This window comes from Homo sapiens, chromosome 11 (genome assembly GCF_000001405.40).
Source record: "Homo sapiens chromosome 11, GRCh38.p14 Primary Assembly".
Lineage (NCBI taxonomy): Eukaryota > Metazoa > Chordata > Mammalia > Primates > Hominidae > Homo > Homo sapiens.
In genome coordinates this window covers 73,802,623-73,823,607 of record NC_000011.10, presented here as the reverse complement: position 1 = coordinate 73,823,607, position 20,985 = coordinate 73,802,623, and the positions used below count along the sequence as shown (strand labels likewise).

Genomic DNA, 20,985 nt, shown 5'->3' with positions numbered 1-20,985 from the left:
GTCTAGCTAGATTTTTGTATTCTAGAAATCAAGTGTTATAACCTAGTGGTTATGGACACAGGCTGTTCAGTCAGATAGACCTGAGTTTAAATAGAAGTCCCACCTGTTTCTTTCTGGTTACTTTCACCAAATTTTTTTGAGCTACTGTTTCTTCTTTATTTATAAATGAGGATAATAAAGAGGGTTAAAGGATAACATGTGTATGTGTGTGTATCTATATGTATGTGTATATGGCATCAAGATATGGGCAGCAAGTCCTTCCTTGAAGAGGGATCTTCAAGCTGCTGTGGTCCTGCCCTCATTTCTTCAGGGTCACCACTCTGTGAGGTATTAAACACAAGATGGTGTGAAGAAGTCTAAGTCAGCAGTCCCCAACCTTTTTGGCACTAGGGACCAATTTTATGGAAGACAATTTTTCCACAGATGTGAGGAGTGGGGAAGTGGTTTTGGGATGATTCAAGCATATTACATTTATTGTGCATGTTATTTATATTATTATTACATTGTAATATATAATGAAATAATTGTACAACTCACCATAATGTAGAATCAGTGGAAGCCCTGAGCTTGTTTTCCTGCAACTAGACAGTCCCATCTGGGGGTGATGGGAGACAGTGACAGATCATCAGGCATTAGATTCTCAGAATGAGTAGTGCTCAACCTGGATCCCTCATATGTGCAGTTCACAAAAGAGTTCATGCTCCTATGAGAATCTAACGCCACAGCTGATCTGAGAGGAGACAGAGCTCAGGTGATAGCTTGAGTGATGGGGAGTGGCTGGGAGGGGCTGTAAATACAGATGAAGCTTCCCTGGCTCAACTGCCCCTCATTTCCTGCTGTGTGGCCTGGTTCCTAACAGGTCACAGACCACGTACTGGTCCATGGCCTGGGGTTTGGGGATTCCTGATCTAAGTGACATCAAGTAAAAGTTTTCTTAGGCCTCTGTTTTCTAAAATGGGCTTCCAAGCAGGTTTGCTCTGTGTGAGGCCTATCAGAGATAGTACTGGCTTCAGAGAACTTCTCCACATTTACAATCCACGCTATTTCATCAAGACAACCCAGAAATATCATGGATCCCTTCCACGATATGCATTAATCCACATTTACAATTACATGCCAATAACTGTATAGACACTGAGACAGTTACAAAGACAAATAAAATATGCTACTTTCCCTTGAGATACTCGAGGTATAGTATGAAAGGAAGATAGGAAAGCAGATAATCACCTTACGGTGTACTAAGTACTTTAATGGACACGTGAGCAATGTCATAGGTGCTCAGAGGAAGAAAAAACTAACTCTGCCTTTGGGGTGGGGGTGCAGGGTGCAGGGGAATAGGTTCAGATGAGGAAACAGCTGCATTCTTGAAAGCAGAGTAAGAGTTTACCGTGTAAGGAATAGGGAGGTATTTTTGGCCAGAGGTTCCCAAAGAGCACAGAATATAACCAAGGTATCTTCCTGACTGCTGCCCCAGTTTCATCTCTCTGAATCTAAGACCTTTGACCTTTTGCAACTTCGGGCTCTAGACTCTCCAACCTGAGGACCCACCCATGGAGCTGATATCCAAATCTCTTTGATGGGTACACAGTGATCCTCAGGCCAGGACCTTGAAAACCAACCTCATCGAAGATTTTATTATGACTCAAAATAAGACCTCCTAAAAAGCACTGAACTCTCCAAAGTATGATCATCCATTCAACAAATATTTATTATTACCTATTAGGGTAGGCAGCAACCATTATACTGCACAATCATATGAATGGCACACACCAGAGTTGTGCAGTGTACAACCAACCCAATATCCATGGCAGGCTTGATAGGTACCACGCATTGCCCTAGAAGCTGGGGCTACAACAATGAACAAAGACTAAGTCCCTGCAATACAGAACCTGCCACCTAGGAAGACAGACACTAATATCAATGCAAGGTGATAAGGGCTGTCTATGATAAGCACTGTACACGGGAGGGGCACTTAAGATGAACTTGAGTGCCAGGAAAGGGTTCTTAGAGTGAGTGGCTTTTAAGTAAAACTTGAAGGATAAGTAGGAGTTAGGAGAAAACACGGTATAGGCAGAGAAAGAGCCAGAGATAATTTTAAAGTAGAGCAAGAGGATCAGGGTGGCAAGAGATGAGCTTAGAGAAACAGGCAAGGCTTAGGAAGGGCTTAATTATTGAGTACTAATGATATCCCAGACACCGTGCAAAGGGTTGGGGACAAGGCCAACAAAACTCTGCTTATGGAGATTATAGTCTAGTGGGAGGACAGAATCATTAGACTAATAGTCACAAAGTAAATATAAGATTACAAATTGTGGCCAGGTGTGGTAGTTCATGCCTGTAATCTCTGCACTTTGGGAGGCTGAGGCAGGAGGATCACTTGAGGCCAGGAGTTTAAGACCAGCTGGGCAACATAGAAGAGACCCTGTCTCTATAAAAAGGAAAAAAAAAATTAGCTGGGCATGGTGGCATGTGCCTATAGCCCTAGCTACTCAGGAGGCTGTGGTGGGAGGATTGTTTGAGCCCAGTTCAAGGCTGCAGTGAACTATTATCATGATGCTGTACTCCAGTGTGGGCAACAGAGCGAGACCCTCTCTCCTAAAAAAAGTAATTACAAATTCTGGTAAGTGATGAAAACAAAAAGCACAGGGAGGGCTATGGTGATACAACAGATAGACCTATTTTTGGAATAGAACATCAGGGAAGGCCTCTGTGAAAAAATGAGATTTTAACTGAAACCAGAATTCAGAAGAAAATTATAATAGTGGTTACCCCCAGGGGGGATAGTGGGGGGGAAGTAGCTAGAAAGGCAAGAGAGTTACTTATATTCCTTTGCACCTTTTAAAATCTGTTCCTTGTATATATATATATTATCCACTCAAAAACAAATAAATAAAATAAGATATTGGAAAGGCAAATAGAAGTGTACTGGATGAAAAAAATGGAGGATGGGTGTTCCAGGTAGAGGAAACAGCATGTGTAAAGGCCCTAATGTAGCACACAGCTTGGGACATTCAAGGAACAGAAAAGCTGTCAGTGTGACTGAAGCAAAGTGAGAGGGACAGAATGCACCTAAGAGATGAGAGTGGGCTGGGCAAGTGGCTCACACCTGAAATCCCAGCATTTTGGGAGGCTGGGGCGGATGGTCACTTGAGGTCATGAGTTTGAGACCAGCCTGGCCAACATGGTGAAACCCTGTCTCTACTAAAAATACAAAAATTAGCCGGGTGTGATGGTACATGCCTGTAGTCCCTGCTACTCAGGAAGCTGAGGCAGGAGAATCACTTGAACCCGGGAGGCGGAGTTTGCAGTGAGCAGAGATTGAACCACTGCACTTCAGCCTGGGCAACAGAGCGAGACTCTGTCTCAAAAAAGAAAGAGACCAGCGTGAGTAGTGGTCGGAATCAACCGTGCTGGGCCTTGTTAAAGGTTTGGATTTCATCCTGAACAGCCATAAGCAGGGAAAGTATATGTCTGATATATATTTTTAAAAGATCATTTTGGTTCTTATGTGAAGGAAATAGGGAGATTAGATTGGTAGCCCCCGCTAAGTTGTTGATCTGCACCTACACCCTCCAACATCCCTCTCCTCTATTCCGTCCTTGAGAGCTGACAGATTAATCCTTTTAAAATAAAAATCTAATCATGTTATTCTCTTTCATTAATCTAACCATTTATTTATTGCACACACACAATTGTTTGTTTGCTTGTTTTGAGACAGGAACCGCTCTGTTGCCCAGGCTGGGGGGCAGTGGCATGATCTTGGTCACTGCAACCTTGATGTGCCTAGGCTCAAGTGATCCTCCCATCTCAATCTCCCGAGTAGCTGGGACTACAGGGTGTGCCACCACACCAGTTTAATTTGTCCCAGGTGCGTGCCACCACACCAGGTTAATTTGTGGATTTCTTGTAGATATGCAGTTTCGCCATGTTGCCCAGGCTGGACAATTGTTTTAAAATATAGATATTTACTATTTGTCAGGCATTATACCAGGCACTGTAAAGACAACAATGAATGAGACAGAAGGTAAAATTTTGATGGTTTTCTGTTGCCCAAAGTTTGAAATTCTTAGGTAAGCACTTAGGTAAGATCATCAAGAGTTTAATTCATAGTGATAGCTCTATCATGCCTCCAATATATAATAAAACGTTTTATGTAAATAAAAAAGAAAACTCATATGTCAATCACCATCTTTAAGTAGTACATAGAAACTCAATCATCTATCTGTAATTTCAAAAAGCAGAACCAAAAAGGATCTTTGCGATGATAACACATCGTAGGTGAAAGTACTGCAAATGTTTGCCTCAGCCTCTTATCTACTGGAATTCCTTGGCAAGGAGGCATTTTAAAATTCAGTTTGGAGCAATTCCTATAATTAGAGCATCTGCTTAATTAAGAAGCTGGTTCAAACCACTGTTAAATGAACCATTCTGCCCCTTAAATGAAAGGTTTTGGTCAAATTACCAGTGGTTAAACTGCTTAATTAGCCAGTTGTTTTAATTATAAAATTTACAAGTTTGAAAGCCTCTGATTTCCAATAAGTTCAACTGAATTCTTTTCCCCTGTGTCATGTCAATAAGTGGGTTTCCTGCTGTCACATTAACATTGCAGCCTCCTGAGAGAAAAGGCAACTCCTTACTAAAGAAAGACACAAAACCCCAGGGTTTCAAATGGAGGCTTTAAAAATCTTTCAATTATCACAATTATAAGATGTAATCATGCAATGACATTTCCCACAGCATTCCCCTTTCCTTTACATATGCCAGAGACAACTGTCCTTCAATGTTCTTGTTCATTAAACTGAGAACTAAACCCATCAATCCAGGATGGGGATAAACAACTTTGTTATAATTATTTCTCATTCAGAAATGGGATAAGCATTTTTAACAGGGCTATGCAGGTAGGGAAAGAAAAAAATTGGGGTAGCCCCCAGCGAAGAAGCTAATTACAGGTTATTCTCTCCACTCAACAGACTGTAAGGCCCTCCAGGGCAGAAACAATGCCACCACCTGGCAAACAGTATGTGCTCAGTAAGTGTATATTTAAAAACAAAACAAAACAAAAATGGTTCTTAAGATATTTTACCAAAACAATCTGCAATGATTTGTCCCTGCCAGCTGCCCACATTTTTCAAAATTTCTTTTCAAATTTCTTTCAGTTGTTCTAATTACACTGAACTACTTGGGTCTGAAAATACCACGCTTCTCTGCTTCTACCTTTTTATTCATGCTGTAATGAGAGCACTCTAAGTTCCCTTCGTCTTGTCTCTTTAGATCTAGTTTTATATATTTACTTCTATCTGTCTATTATTTTTAAATCAATAAGAAAAAGATGGTCACCACAATCAAGCCCCTCCTTGGATAGAGCAGCTGGAATGGTCCCCAGAGCCCACACACGGAGTGGATGGGTGAAGGCAGGAATGGGGCACTTTCCCTACTCTTCCTTTCTGAACATCATTGTAATTCAATTCTGAAATTTCTGACTTTAAAGATATCTCAGTCTGGGGGCAGTGACTGACACCTGTAATCCCAACACTTTGGAGGCTGAGGTGGGAAGATTACTTGAGGCCAGGAAATCAAGACCAGCCTAGGCAACACAACAAGACCCTGTCTTCACAAAAAATTTAAAAAATAAAAAATTAGCTGGGCATGGTAGCGCATACCTGTAATCCCAGCTACTCCAGAGGCTGAGGCAGGAGGATTGCTTGAACCCAGGAGTTCGAGGCTGCAGGGAGCTATGATCATGCCACTGTACTCAAGCCTGGGCCACAAGCAAGACCGTCTCTCTCTCAAAAACAAAAACAACAACAACAACAAAAATAAATATCTGAAAGAACCTATAAAAAATACCAACAAAACTGTGTGCTTTCAAGTGGAAATTATCCTGGTGAGCCAACATTAGTGAGTTATTCTGGGACTTGGAACCTTCTAGGGACTACTATTCTCCAGTCACAGTTGAAACATGGGCAAAGGAAAGAATAAATAAATAGCAAGTAAATGTACAAAAATATGTTCAACCAACTAGTAATCAAAGACATGAAAATTCCAAACACAAGGGAAAGCACGTTTTAACCTACAATATTAGCAAATATTAAAAATAATACTCGATGTTGATGAGTATGTAAAAAGGGATTCTCAAATAGAGAAGTATAAAATGGTGCAATCTTTCTGGAGATCAATTTAGTAATAATACACATCAACAGCTTTAAAAATGTGTATTTCCTTTGACCCAATAGTTCTACTTTCAGAAATGTACCCTAAGTAATCAGACAATGGCACAAATATTGCCCAAGAATGTTCATCACAGTGTTGTTTCCATTGCAAAATCTTGGTAACAACTTAAATTTCTCCAAATAGAAAAATGTTGAAAAAATTATGCACTATCCCCACATATCTTTTCAAAATGATTCCTATTGGATCTTTTCCAATAGCCATTTAACGTGCCCTATTTGATGCCAACTTCAAAAACAAAATAAACAGGCTGGGCATGGTGGCTCATGCCTGTGAACCCAGCACTTCGGGAGGCCCAAGCGGGTGAACCACCTGAGGTCAAGAGTTAGAGACCAGCCTGGCCAACATGGTGAAACCCCGTCTCTATTAAAAAAAATACAAAAACAATTAGCCAGGCATGGTAGTGCACACCTGTAATCCCAGCTGCTTGGGAGGCTGAGGCAGGAGAATCACTTGAACCTGGGAGCCAGAGGTTGCGGTGAGCTGAGATGGCACCACTGCACTCCAGTGTGGGCGACAGAGTGAGACTCCGTCTCAAAAAAAAAAAAATAATAAACAAAATAAACAAAAAATGACATCCGAATTAGGTAGCTACCAGATACTAAAATATACCACCAGCTGGGCAGGGTGGCTCATGCCTGTAATCCCAACAATTTAGGAGGCCAAGGCGGGCGGATCACCTAAGGTCGGGAGTTCGAGACTAGCTTGGCCAACATGGAGAAACCCCGTCTCTACTAAAAATACAAAATTAGCTGGGCATGGTGGCGCATGCCTGTAATCCCAGCTACTCAGGAGGCTGAGGCGGGAGAATCGCTTGAACCGGGAGGTGGAGGTTGCAGTGGGCCAAGATCGTGCCATTGCTCTCTAGCCTGGGCAACAAGAGCAAAACTCCATCTCAAAAATAAAAAACTAAAATATACTAAAAAACTGTAGTAACCAAAAAGCTTTAAAACAGTTTCATACTGGCATCAAATACATATACAGATCAATGAAACAAGATGAAGTTTAAAAAGTAGTTCCGGCCGGGCACGGTGGCTCACGCCTGTATCCCAGCACTTTGGGAGGCCGAGGCGGGCGGATCACGAGGTCAGGAGATCGAGACCATCCTGGCTAACATGGTGAAACCCCGTCTCTACTAAAAATACAAAAAATTAGCTGGGCATGGTGGTGGGCGCCTGTAGTCCCAGCTACTCGGGAGGCTGAGGCAGGAGAATGGCATGAACCCGGGAGGTGGAGCTTACAGTGAGCCGAGATCGCGCCACTGCACTCCAGCCTGGGCGACAGAGCAAGACTCCCTCTCAAATAAATAAATAAATAAATATAAAATAAAATAAAAAAATAAAAAGTAGTTCCAAGCCAGGCCCAGTGGCTCATGCCTGTGAAGCCAGAACTTTGAGAGGCCAAGGCAGGAGGATTGCTTAAGCTCAGGACTTCAAGACCAGCCTGGGCAACGTAGGGAGACCCTGTCTCTATAAAAAAAAAAAAAATAAAAGTCAAGCATGGTGGCACAGGCCTTCAGTCCCAGCTACTGAGGAGTCTGAGGTGAGAGGATGGCTTGAGCTTGGGAGGTTGAGGCTGCAGTAAGCTGTGATGGTGCCACTACACTCCAGCCTGGGTGACAGAGCGAGCGGTCCCAGCACTTTGGGAGGCCGAGGCAGAAGGCCTAGTCTCTATTTTTAAAAATTTTTAAGTAAAAAAAACAAAACAAAAAATAGTCCTAGACTTAGGCTGGGTATTGTGGCTCACACATGTAATCTCAGCACTTTGGGAGGCCAAGGTGGAAGGATCCCTTGAACCTAGGAGCTCAAGACTGCGGTGAGCTGTGATGGTATCAAAGTCCGGGCAGCAAAGAGAGATCCTGACTCCAAATAAAAAACTTAAAAATCCCAGATCTACACAGGAACTTAGAATATGATAAAGGTTACATTCTCAAACCTCCAGGAAAAACACAGATTTTTTTTTTTTGAGATGGAGTTTCGCTCTCGTTGCCCAGGCTAGAGTGCGATGGCGTGGTCTCGGCTCACCGCAACCTCCGCCTCCCAGGTTCAAGCTATTCTCCTGCCTCAGCCTCCTGAGCAACTGGAATTACAGGAGCACCACCACGCCCGGCTAATTTTTCTATTTTTAGTAGAGATGGGGTTTCACCATGTTGGTCAGGCTGGTCGTGAACTCCTGACCTCAGGTGATCCACCTATCTTGAACTTCCAAAGTGCTAAGATTACAAACATGAGACACGACGCCTAGCCAAAAACATGGATATTTTAATAAATGTTGAAACAACTGACTTCATTCATTCATTAAGAGGCAGAAACTATATTCATGCTCCACTTATAATTCCAGATGGAACACTTTTTTGTTTTATTTATTTATTTATTTATTTATTTATGAGACCAAGTCTTGCTCTGTCATCCTGGCTGACGTGCAGTGGCAAGACATCTCGGCTCACTGCAACCTCCGCCTCCCAGGTTCAAGGGATTCTCCTTCAGCTGCCGGAGTAGCTGGGATTATGGGCGTGTGACCACCACGCCTGGCTAATTTTTGTACTTTTAGTAGAGACAGGGTTTCACCATGTTGACCAGGCTGGTCTAGAACTCCTGACCTCAAGTGATCCACCTGCCTCGGCCTCCCAAACTGCCGAGATTACAAGCATGAGCCACCGCACCCAGCCTCACTTTTTTTTTTTCTTGAGACAGTCTCACTCTTGTCGCCTAGGCTTGAGTGCAATGGCACAATCCCAGCTCACTGCAACCTCCGCCTCCCAGGTTCAAGCAATTCTCCTGCCTCAGCCTCCTCAGTAGCTGGGATTACAGGCATGCATCACCATGCCTGGCTAATTTTTGTATTTTTAGTAGAGATGGGGTTTCACCATATTGGCCAGGCTGGTCTCGAACTCCTGACCTCAGGTGATCCACTGGCCTCAGCCTCCCAAAGTGCTGGGATTACACGCGTGAGCCACCGTGCCCCACCTCACTCTTTTTTTTTCTTTTTGAGACATGATCTCGTGCTGTCTTCCAGGCTAGAGCACAGTGGCAAAATCATAGCTCACTGCAACTTCAGTCTGACTCATGCAATCCTCCCACCTCAGTCTTCGTCTTCTGAGTAGCTGGGACCACAGGCACTCGCTATCCCACCAGGCTAATTATTTTTTTTTTGTAGAGATGGAGTCTCCCTATGTTGTCCAGGATGGTCTTAAACTCCTGGGCTCAGGTGATCTTCCCCTCAACCTCCCAAAGTGCTGAGGTTATAAGCGTAACCCACTACACCTGGTCTGGACCACATATTGAAAAGAAAAAATATTTATCAGAAGGTAATATGAAGGATTTTTTTTTTTTTTTTTTTGAGACAGAGTCTCACTCTGTCGCTCAGGCTGGAGTGCAGTGGCGAGATCTCGGCTCACTGCAAGCTCTGCCTCCCGGGTTCACGCCATTCCCCTGCCTCCGCCTCTGGAGTAGCTGGGACTACAGGCACCTGCCACCACGTCCCACTCATTTTTTGTATTTTTAGTAGAGACGGGGTTTCACCATGTTAGCCAGGATGGTCTTGATCTCCTGACTTTGTGATCCACCCGCCTCGGCCTCCCAAAGTGCTGGGATTACAGGCGTGAGCCACCATGCCCAGCCATGGATTTTTAAAAATAATCTTAGGGTAGAAAAGACCTTTTTAAGCATGAAACAAAATCTAGAAATCAAAGATTAATAAACATAACTATATAAAAATCTAAAGCTTCTGTTTAATGGAGAAAACACAAACATAAAGTCAAGGGATAAATGACTAGAAAAAGTACAAGCATATGTAACAGAGAAATGCTAATTTCCTTAATATATAAGAACTATATTAAAAGTTCTTACAAATCAAAAATGAAAAAGTAAACAATCCAATAGAAAAATTGACAAAAAAACATAAATGGGCCAGGCACAGTGGCTCACGCCTGTAATCCCAGCACTTTGGGAGGCCGAGGTGGGTGAATCACCTGAGGTCAGGAGTTAGAGACCAGCCTGACCAACATGGTGAAACCCTGTCTCTACTAAAAATACAAAAAAATTAGCCAGGCGTGGTGGCACATTCCTGTAGTCCCAACTACTCAGGAGGCCGAGGCAGGAGAACCACTTGAACCTAGGAGGCAGAGGTTGCAGTGAGCCAAGATCATGCCACTGCACTCTAGCCTGGGTGACAGAGTAAGACTCTGTCTCAAAAATAAGTAAATAAATAGGCAATTCATTAGGAAACAAATACAAATGGCAAATAACCATATGAAAAGATGACAAATTCAAGACACACAAATTAAAATGAGACATAATTTTCACTAACAAAAAAAATATTATTTTTTTAGGCCAGGTGCAGTTGCTCACACCTGTAATCTTAGCACTATGGGAGACCGAGGTGGGTGGATCACCTGAGGTCAGGAATTAGAGACCAGCCTGGCCAACATGGTGAAACCCTGTCTCTACTAATAAATACAAAAATTAGCCAGGCATGGTGGCGCATGCCTGTAGTCCCATCTACTTGGGAGGCTGAGGCAGGGGAATCTCTTGAACCCAGGAGGTGGAGGTTGCAGTGAGCCAAGATCGTGCCACTGTACTCCAGCCTGGGTGACAGAACGTGACTCAGTCTCAAAAACAATAAAAAATAAATAAATAAATATATATATATATATATATATATTTAGACATGGGATCCTGCTCTGTCGCCCAGGCTAGAGTATGGCATCTATTCACAGGCAAAATCAAAGTGCGGTACAGCCTCAAACTCCTGGGCTCAAAGGACCATTCTGGGACTTCAGCTTTCCATGTAGCTGGGACTACAAGTTCATGCCAGTGCTTCCAGCTAACAGTAAATGTTTTATAAAACCCAGTTTGGGCCGGAAAATAGAAATGTAAATTAATACAACTTCTCTGGTGGATAGTCTGGCAATACTTATCAAAATCTCCAATTCATAATGCATTGACTCAGCAATTTCAATTCCAGGAATTTATCTTACAAATGTACAGGAACAAGTTTACAAAGACATACGAAAATGGCTGGTGTACCATTTTTTGAAACAGCAAAAAACTAAAAACGACCTAAATGTCCAGCATTAAGATACAGTCATACACACACATAATATAAATCTTCATATATACATAAAATCTTCCTGAAAGATACACAAGAAATTGCTATCAGTGGATATCATGAGGGAGTTAAGATTGGGAAAGAGGGCCGGGCGCGGTGGCTCACACCTGTAATCCCAGCACTTTGGGAGGCCGAGGCGGTTGGATCACAAGGTCAGGAGATCTAGACCATCCTGGCTAACACGGTGAAACCCCATCTCTACTAAAAAATACAAAAAATGAGTGGGGCGTGGTGGCAGGTGCCTGTAGTCCCAGCTACTTGGGAGGCTGAAGCAGGAGAATGGTGTGAACCCGGGTGGTGGAGCTTGCAGTGAGCCAAGATCTCGCCATTGCACTTGTCTGGGCAACAGAGTGAGACTCCATCTCAAAAAAAAAGACTGGGAAAGGGCAATAAAATTTCACTTTTCATCATATACACTTTTGTACAGTTTAAGTTTATTCTTCCCATATGCATCCATTTCAATTTTTTAACAGGTGATAATTTTAATAGTATTAGGTTGGTGCAAAAGTGCAGTTTTTGCCATTATTTTTACTTTTGCACCAACCTAATAATTTTTTTAAAAGACTTTCCTCAGAATATATACCAATTCAAAATAAACTTTGCCTATGGTTGAGAAGGATAAGGGATAAGACCAAGGCTAGAGAATAATGATGACTTGAACATAGATCTTTTTGTTTTAATACAAAAAAGACAATGAAAGTCTGACAAAATGTTAATAGTTGCCAATTCTGGGTTTATTTGACATATTACTCTTTTACTCTTCTATATTTTTTATATCTCTCAAAATAAAAAGTATAATTAAGAGATAAACAATTTTTAAAAAAACCTCTCCTTCACCCTACATCTCTCTTCAGTTCCTGCCAATATTTTATTGACCCATTCAGTCTCAAACTTTTTTAAAGCATTGTCTACAGTCATTTTTTTCCTAACTCTTGGACTTTCATTCACTTGTCACCTCATGGTTAATTTCCACAACCCATCCACCCCACCTACCTAGACTACCCTCCCTAAGGTCACCAGTGACCTCTAGATTGCTAAAATCCAAGGATACTACCATGTTCATGTTTTTCCTGGTCTCTCAGTAGCACAGTTGAAACTGTAACATGGTTGGCCACTCTTTCCTTCTTGAAACGCTCTCCTCTTGCCTGCCATGATACTATACTATCCAGGTTTTCTCCACTATGGTCTCTCTTTCTCAGCTTCATTAGACTTTCTCCCTCTACCCAGATTTTTAAGGTTGAAATTCCTCAGGGTATGATCCCTGGGTCTCTTCTCCACCTTTTCTCCTTAAGTGATCACATTCATTCCCATGGCTTCAATTAAAACTGACAAAATAATGACTTTCATATTTATAGTTTCAACTCAGACCTAAATTTTTAGCTCAAGATCAGTGTATCCAATGGGCTGCTTAATATATCCTTTGCAGGCACTCCACACTATTACAAAAACCACAGAAAAACAAACACTGGATGTTCTCACTCATAAGTGGGAGTTGAACAATGAGAACACATGGACACAGGGAGGGGAACATCACATACCAGGGCCTCTCGGGGGGTGGGGGGCTAGTGGAGAGATAACATTAGGAGAAATACCTAATGTAGGTGATGGGTTGATGGGTGCAGTAAACCACCAGGGCACGTGTATCTATGTAACAAAACTGCACGTTCTGCACATGTAACCCAGAACTTAAATTACAATAAAAAAAAAAAAATAAAGAAAGAAAACATCCTTATTTCTTTTTTCTTTTTTGAGTCAGAGTTTCGCTCTTGTTGCCCAGGCTGGAGTGCAATGGCACGATCTCGGCTCACTGCAACCTCCGCCTCCCAAGTTCAAGCGGTTCTCCTGCCTCAGCCTCCCGAGTAGCTGGGATTACAGGCATGCTCCACCATGCCCGGCTAATTTTGTATTTTTAGTAGAGATGGGGTTTCTCCATGTTGGTCAGGCTGGTCTTGAACTCCTGACCTAAGGTGATCCGCCCATCTCGGCCTGCCAAAGTACTGGGATTACAGGCATGAGCCACTGCACCTGCCCGAAAATATCCTTATTTCTAAAAACCCAAGCTAAAGTATTCAAGCGTAAAGTATCATGATGTCTGATTTTTAAGAAGCTAACATGACAAAATGTTAACAAAAGTTGAATCTAAATAGTGGGTAAAGAAATGTTCATTGTATTATTCCTAGGGAAAAAATAAGCTTCTAAAACTACTAAATAGCAAGGACTATATCCTCTTAATTTTGTATCACCAGCATCTAACACACAGTCTAGTAAGATACATGTTTGTCAAGAGAATGTATAAATAAAAAGAAGCCCATTATTTTGAGATGTTAGGCTTTGGGCCCAGTAGAAATGGTGATTCCCTACACATTGCCGCCATCTTCTAAAATAATTAACATATGTAAAGCCTCTTCCACACTTCCTTGCACACAGTAGGCACTGAGTAAAAAATGTTAGTTCCCTTCCTTACTTCCATTCCTTTATCTCTGATACTTGTCAGACACATGACAAACGTCATTAAAATCCAACAACTCCATTGAAATTTCTCACATAATAGACAAAGCAAAAATGGCAAGTAATTGGGTTGAAACAGAGATGGATATCCATTGAGTTAATCAGACTGAATGGACATTCATTTTGGATTAAACAGTGTGAGAAAAGCCCTAGCCTGATGATGGACATACAAGGCAGTTCTGGAATAGTAGCAGTATTAATAATAATAATAATTACAGCTGCTACTTTTTGAGCATTTTATCTTTTTTTTTTTTTTTTTGAGACGGAGTCTCGCTCTGTCGCCCAGGCTGGAGTGCAGTGGTATGATCTCGGCTTACTGTAACCTCTGCCTCCGGGGTTCAAACAATTCTCCTGCCTCAGCCTCCCGAGTAGCTGGGACTACAGGCATGTGCCACCACGCCCGGCTAATTTTTTGTATTTTTAGTAGAGATGGGGTTTCACTGGGTTAGCCAGGATTGTCTTGATCTGACCTCATGATCCGCCCTCCTCGGCCTCCCAAAGTGCTGGGATTACAGGCGTGAGGCACCTGGCCAAGCACTTTATATCTTTTGTCTCACTGAATCTTCAAATGGTACACTACAGTTTGTATTACAATTATCCTCTTTTTTTTAAATTTTTTTAATTTAAGAGACAGGATCTTGCTCTGTCACCCAGGCTGCAGTGCAGTGGCACAGTCATAGCTCACTGTAACCTGGGCTCAAGAGATCCTCCTGCCTTGGCCTCTGGGGTAGGTAGGATCACAAGCCTGTGCCACCACACCCAGTTAATTTTTAAAAAAATTTTTGTAGAGACAGGGTCTCACCATGCTGCACAGCCTTCTCATTATTTTTTTTTTTTTTGAGATGAAGTCTCGCTCTTGTCCCCCAGGCTGGAGTGCAATGGCGTAATCTCAGCTCACTGCAACCTCCGCCTCCCGAGCTCAAGCGATTCTCCTGCTTCGGCCTCCCGAGTAGCTGGGATTACAGGCGCCTGCCACCACGCCCAGCTAATTTTTTGTATTTTTAGTAGAGACAGGGTTTCACCATGTTGGCCAGGCTGGTCTCGAACTCCTGACCTCAGGTGATCCGCCCGCCTCGGCCTCCCAAAGTGCTGGGATTACAGGCGTGAGCCACCGCACCCGGCCTCACAGCCTGCTCATTTTTTAAGGTGAGGAAACCAAGCTACAGAGAAATAGCCAAAGATCAAATAAATATGTAGTACAGTTGGAATCCAAACTTACTGTAGAGCTCTTGCTCTTAGCCACTACTTGATGTTCTCACCCATGGTTCTATTCCATGCTCACATGGAGGGGTGGGGTTTGGTTCAGGCCACTGTTCTCAAAGATATGGTAGGCTTCCTTCTAGGCAAAATTATTATAGAGTGCTAAAGGGTCACTTAAAGCAGGCCAACTACATCAGGTAAAAACTGCTTACCTACAGAATAGATGGGCTTCTCTCCTGAAGTTCTAAACCTAAAAGGAGGGAGAAAGTATGTTCAATACAATTAGAAACCCATATTTTATTTGCATAGTTTGCAAAATTTATATTCTATCACTAAAGATGCATCAATGCTGTTTCCTTACTCCTTCTTTCCTTTCTTCCTTCCACAAACTTTAATAAGGACCTGATGTGTGCCAAAGTGCCACATCCTGAGAATGCAAATATAAGTAAGATGTCTCTATCCATGGTCTAGTTGGGAAAGGTGCTGGTAAACGAATGTGAGCCACAATATAGTATTGATCCAGAACAGAAACATACAAAATTAAATAGGACACAAAGGAAAGTATGGTCACTCCTACTAGGGAGGTGAAACTATTTTGAGGTGAGTTTTAAAAAACGAAGAAGTGGCCGGGCGCAGCGGCTCACGCCTGTAATCCCAGCACTTTGGGAGGCCGAGGCAGGCAGATGACCTGAGGTCAAGAGTTCGAGACTAGCCTGCCCAATATGGCGAAACCCCGTCTCTACTAAAAATACAAAAAATTACCCGGGTTTGGTGGTGGGCACCTGTAATCCCAGCTAATCGGGAGGCTGAGGCAGGAGAATCACCTGAACTTGGGAGGCGGAGGTTGCAGTAAGCCAAGATCGTGCCACTGCACTCCAGCCTGGGCAACAAGAGCGAAACTCCATCTCAAAAAAAAAAAAAAAAAAAAAAAGATAATAATACTACAATCTAATGGGACTGAAAATGTATCTTAAACTCTGAGTCAGTTTCCTCTTTTGCAAAATGATATTTATATTTGCCTTGTAGTGTTTTTTGTGAAGATTAGAGATAACGAAAAATAGCTAGTATGGTGCCATAGGAGGTGCTTATCAAATAGTAGTTGACTGATTAAGATGGGATAATAGATTAAGATGGAACGGGATACTATCACATTTGGGATTAAGAAAAAAAAAAAGAAGATGGAAGGGAAATAAAGGGAGAAAGCCCTCAATAAATGTTAAGGACTCAAGAAATCATCCAGGATCATGAGTGCCGAGTAGTTCGGGAAGATGTACAATACATTATTTTATATCCTGTGGCTGTCACACAAAAGACACTTGGTGCATATTTGCTGCTGAACAGAGAAATAAACCACCAAATGTATTTCATCACACTTAGAGAAAAACAATGGGGAGCCTGGGCACGGTGGCTCATGCCTGTAATACCAGCACTTTGGGAGGCTGAGGAGCATGGATCACTTGAGGTCAGGAGTTCGAAACTAGCCAGGTCAACATGGTGAAACCCCATCTCTACTAAAAATAGAAAAATTAGCCAGACATGGTGGTGGGCGCCTGTAACCCCAGCTACTCAGGAGGCTGAGGCAGGAGGATTGCTTGAACCTGGATGGTAGAGGTTGCAGTGAACTGAGATAGTGCCACTGCACTCCAGCCTGGGTGAAAGAGATTCTGTCTCAAAAAAATAAAGAAAAAAGAAAAACAATGGAGAGCAATCTATACACAGAACAGTTTAAAAAAAAAAAGACAACTTGGATTTGAATCCTAATTCCAACCCAAATTAGCTCCATCATATTAAAACAACAGATTAAACTCTCTGGACCCCAGTTATTTATATAAAATTGAGATAATATCATCTGTTTTACCAGGTCACTATGAAGGTCAATTCATTCATTTAACAAATATTTATTAAATGCCTACTATGTGTCAGATACCATCGTAGGCCTAGGAATAGGGCAGTATCCCCATGATGCTTATTTTTAAGGGGCAAGGAAAGACAGTTAAACATTTTTATATATAAAAAATGAGTCAGATGGTGACATCTGCTATAAAGAAAAAGCAAAGTATAAAGGAACAGAGATTGATGGAGGGGTGTATATTTTACATAGAGTAGTCAGGGAAGGCCTCTTGGATGGGATGACATTTGGACAGAAACCTGAAAAAAGTATAGGACAAACCATATGGATATCTGAGGAAAGAATATGCACAGATCCTGGGGTGGGAAGGTGCTTAGATTATCAAGGAATAGCAAACCACAGCACAGCTAATGCTGAGTAAGTAGTATAAAATGAGGATACAGATTATGGAAGGTCCTATAGGCCATGGTAAAGATTGCAGGTTTTAGTTTGAGTAAGATGGGATACCACTGGAGAATTTGGAGCAAAGGAGTGATGTGAGCTAACTTGGCTTTAAAAGAATCATTCTTATGTTCATAATGTTAGGTCTCTTTAAAAAAAAAAATCACTCTGCTTTACTGTGAAGAACAGAAGACAAAGGTAAACTAGGGAGACCAGTTGGGAGGCAAAGTGATGGTAGTAAAGGCAATGAGAAAATAAGGAGCTGGCCCCTAGTGGTTTAGCATAACAGAAAGCATGAGGCAAAAACTGGAGAAAGAAATGGTTCTAGGTCTGGCACAGTGGCTCATGCCTGTAATCCCCTCACTTTGGGCAGATCACTTGAGCCCAGGAGTTCAAGACCAGCCTGGGCAACATGGCAAAACCCTGTCTCCACAAAAAATACAAAAACGAATGGGGCATGCTAGTACATGCCTGTAGTCCCAGCTACTTGGGAGGCTGAGGTAGAAGAACCACTTGAGCATGGGAGGTCAAGGCTACAGTGAGCTGTGATCATGCCACTGCACTCCAGCCTGGGCAACAGAGGTAGACTCTGCCTCAATTAAAAAAAAAAAAAAAAAGGTTCTGTTTATATTTCAAAAGTAAAGCCAACAAGTTTTGTTGAAGAATTAACAGCATCTGGCTGGACGCGGGGGCCCACACCTGTAATTCCAGCAATTTGGGAGGCCGAGGCAGGCAGATCACCTGAGGTCTGGAGTTCAAGACCAGCCTGGCCAACATGGTGAAACCCCATCTCTACAAAAATACAAAAATTAGCTGGGCATGGTGGCAGGTGCATGTAATGCCAGCTACTTGGGAGGCTGAGGTGGGAGAATCATTTGAACCTGGGAGGTAGAGGTTGCAGTGAGCCAAGATCACGCCACTGCACTCCAGCCTGGGTGACAGAGTGAAACTCCATCTCAAAAAGAAAAAAAAAAAAAAAGAACAGCATCAAAGATTAACTGCAAGTATTTTGGCCTCAGCAACTAGATGAATGGAGATGCTATTAACTGAGAATGGGGAAGGAGCAAGGTGGCAGGGGAGATGCATGATGTGCTTATAGACATGCAAGTAAATATGATGAAAAAATGCTGTGTGAACTATGAAGCCAAAGGCAAATGTTACCTATATTTAATTATTGTTTTTAATATTCTTACCTTAAGAGAGAAAAGGCTTGCTTAAAAATGGTATTGTTCCTCAGGCACAGCACCTACAGCAAAACAGCCATGTTAGGACAATCTTAAGCATTTATAGACCTCCAAGTATGTCTTCTCAGAGAGGCAAGAAACCCACAGTACACAAACCAGAAAAGGACAAAAAGGCTCTTATCTAACAAAGAAGCTACCCTACAATTAACACCAAGCATGCAAACAAACCAAGGTCATCATTCTCATTCCACCCACTACAGTAAATGCTCAAAAAACAGAAGTCCCCCTCCCACACTGCTTTTTCACTGTTTACCATTTCCAACTTAATCTATTTTTTTCTAATATCAATCAATAATTAGTATGCATCTGCCATGCACAGCATCATGAGAGGGGCTTTATTAAATCTTCTTTAATTCTGAAAACACTGCAAGACAATTTCGTAAGTAAAGCAACTGAGACCCAGAGAGGTTATATTCCAAAAAATTATACCTAATAAGCTGCTAAGAGGACTGACTTAATGGCCAGGTGCGGTGGCTCATGCCTGTAATCCCAGCACTTTGGGAGGCTGAGGCGGGCAGATCACGAGGTCAGGAGTTCAAGACCAACCTGACCAACATGGTATTGTCTCTACTAAAATTACAAAAATTAGCCGGGCATGGTGGTGCATGCCTGTACTCCCAGCTACTCAGGAGTCTGAGACAGAAGAATCACTTGAACCCAGGAGGCGGAGGTTGCAGTGAGCAGAGATTGCGCCACTGCACTCCAGCCTGGGCCATAAAATGAGATTCCGTCTCAAAAAAAAAAGAGGACTGACTTACTACAAAAGCTATGCCTCTATTATAGTACACTGTCTCTCTCAATAACAGTGATAGGCTGGGCACGGTGGCTCATGCCTATAATCCCAGCACTTTGGGAGGCCAAGGTAGGTGGATCACGAGGTCAGGAGTTCAAGACCAGCCCGGCCAAGATTGTGAAACCACGTCTCTACTAAAAATACAAAAATTAACCAGGCATGGTGGCGGGCATATGTAATCCCAGCTACTCAGGAGGCTGAGGCAGGAGAATCCCTTGAACCCAGGAGGCGGAGGTTGCAGTGAGCCGAGATCTCGCCACTGCAGTCTAGCCTGGGCAACAGAGCAAGACTCTGTCTCAAAAAAAAATTAAAATATAAAAATAAAATTAAAAAATGACAGTGATAATGATACTTCACAATGGAGGTAAGAACAAAAAAACAAATATAATGATAGCAACTGCAGCCTCAATCTCCTGGACTCAAGCAATTCCCTTGCTTCAGTCTTCCAAACAAACGTCTGTTCTTTTGTTTGTTTGTTTGTTTTACGGGAAAGAAACAAAAAAAAAGTCTGTTCTTAAGGTCCCATAACATAAAGAGAAAATCCTGCCCACTATGGATAACAATTTTAATTCTTTCAACATGGATGTATGAAAAGTCTAGTATGCAAAAACAAGGAAAATCTGAGAAACTATCAGTCAAGAGGAGCCTACGGAAAAGACGACGATTAAATAAAATATAATATCCTGAATGGGATCTGCAACAGAAAAAGGACACTAGAGAAAAAGTAAGGAAATCTGAATAAAGTATGGACACTAGCTAATATACCAATATTGGCTCATTAATTATAAAAAAAAAAATCACTCTAGGCCAGGTGTGGGGGCTCACGCCTGTAATCCCAATACTTGAGGAGGCTGAGGCAGGCAGATCACTTGAGGCCAGGAGTTCAAGACCAGCCTGGCCAACATGGTGAAACCCCGTCTCTCCCAAAAATACAAAAATTAGCCAGGGGTGGTGGTGCGTGCCTGTAGTCCCAGCTACTTGGGAGGAGGCTGAGGCAGGAGAATCGCTTGAACCTGGGAGGCAGGGGTTGCAGTGAGCAGAGATCATACCATTGCACTCCAGTCTGGGCAACAGAGCAAGACTCTGTCTCAAAAAATAAATAAATAAATCACACTAATGTAAAGATAATAGTAATAGGGGAACTTGGGATATATGGGAACTCTGTGTACTGTCTTTGCAAGTTTTCTGTAAATCTAAAACTATTCTAAAATAAAGCTTATTTTTAAAAAGTCTATTATAAGCCAGGTGTAGTGGCTAATGCCTACAATCCAAGCATTTTGGGAGGCCAAAGTAGGAAGATCACTTGAGCCTAGGATTTTGAGACCAGCCTGGCCAACATAGGAAGACCCTTTCTCTACAAAACAAAAAATTAGCCAGGCGTGGTGGTGCACACCTGTGATCCCAGCTACTCAGGAGGCTGAGGTAGGAGGATCACTTGGACCCAGAGGGCTGAGGCTGCAATAAGCCGTGACTGTGCCATTGCACTCTGGCCTGGGGTGACAGAATGAGACCCTGTCTCAAGTTAAAAAAAAAAGAAAAAAAAAAGCTTATATGCCAACTGCTGTGCTGAATGTTAAAGAGAATATAAAAACAAAATGTAACTACAGGGATGA

General features: G+C 42.4%; 1 protein-coding gene across 9 annotated transcripts in view; it reads right to left on the bottom strand.

Annotated features, from left to right (window-relative positions):
• The window catches only part of MRPL48 (mitochondrial ribosomal protein L48), a 77,260-nt gene that overhangs the window by 41,526 nt on the left and 14,749 nt on the right, over positions 1-20,985 (bottom strand). For 4 of the 9 annotated variants that reach the window (NR_134659.2, NR_134661.2, NM_016055.6 and 1 more), the window contains 2 exons: positions 18,529-18,581; positions 15,258-15,295 (listed from right to left, as the gene is read on the bottom strand). Coding sequence is in view for 5 of the 9 variants with exons in the window: in NM_016055.6 (NP_057139.1) it covers positions 15,258-15,295; positions 18,529-18,581 (91 nt within the window). In the remaining 4 variants the exon portion in view is untranslated. Of the gene's footprint in view, positions 1-537; positions 596-5,660; positions 5,786-15,257; positions 15,296-18,528; positions 18,582-20,985 lie in introns of all 9 variants that reach the window. The other 5 variants (NR_134660.2, NR_134658.2, XM_047427121.1 and 2 more) reach the window with 4 other exon arrangements.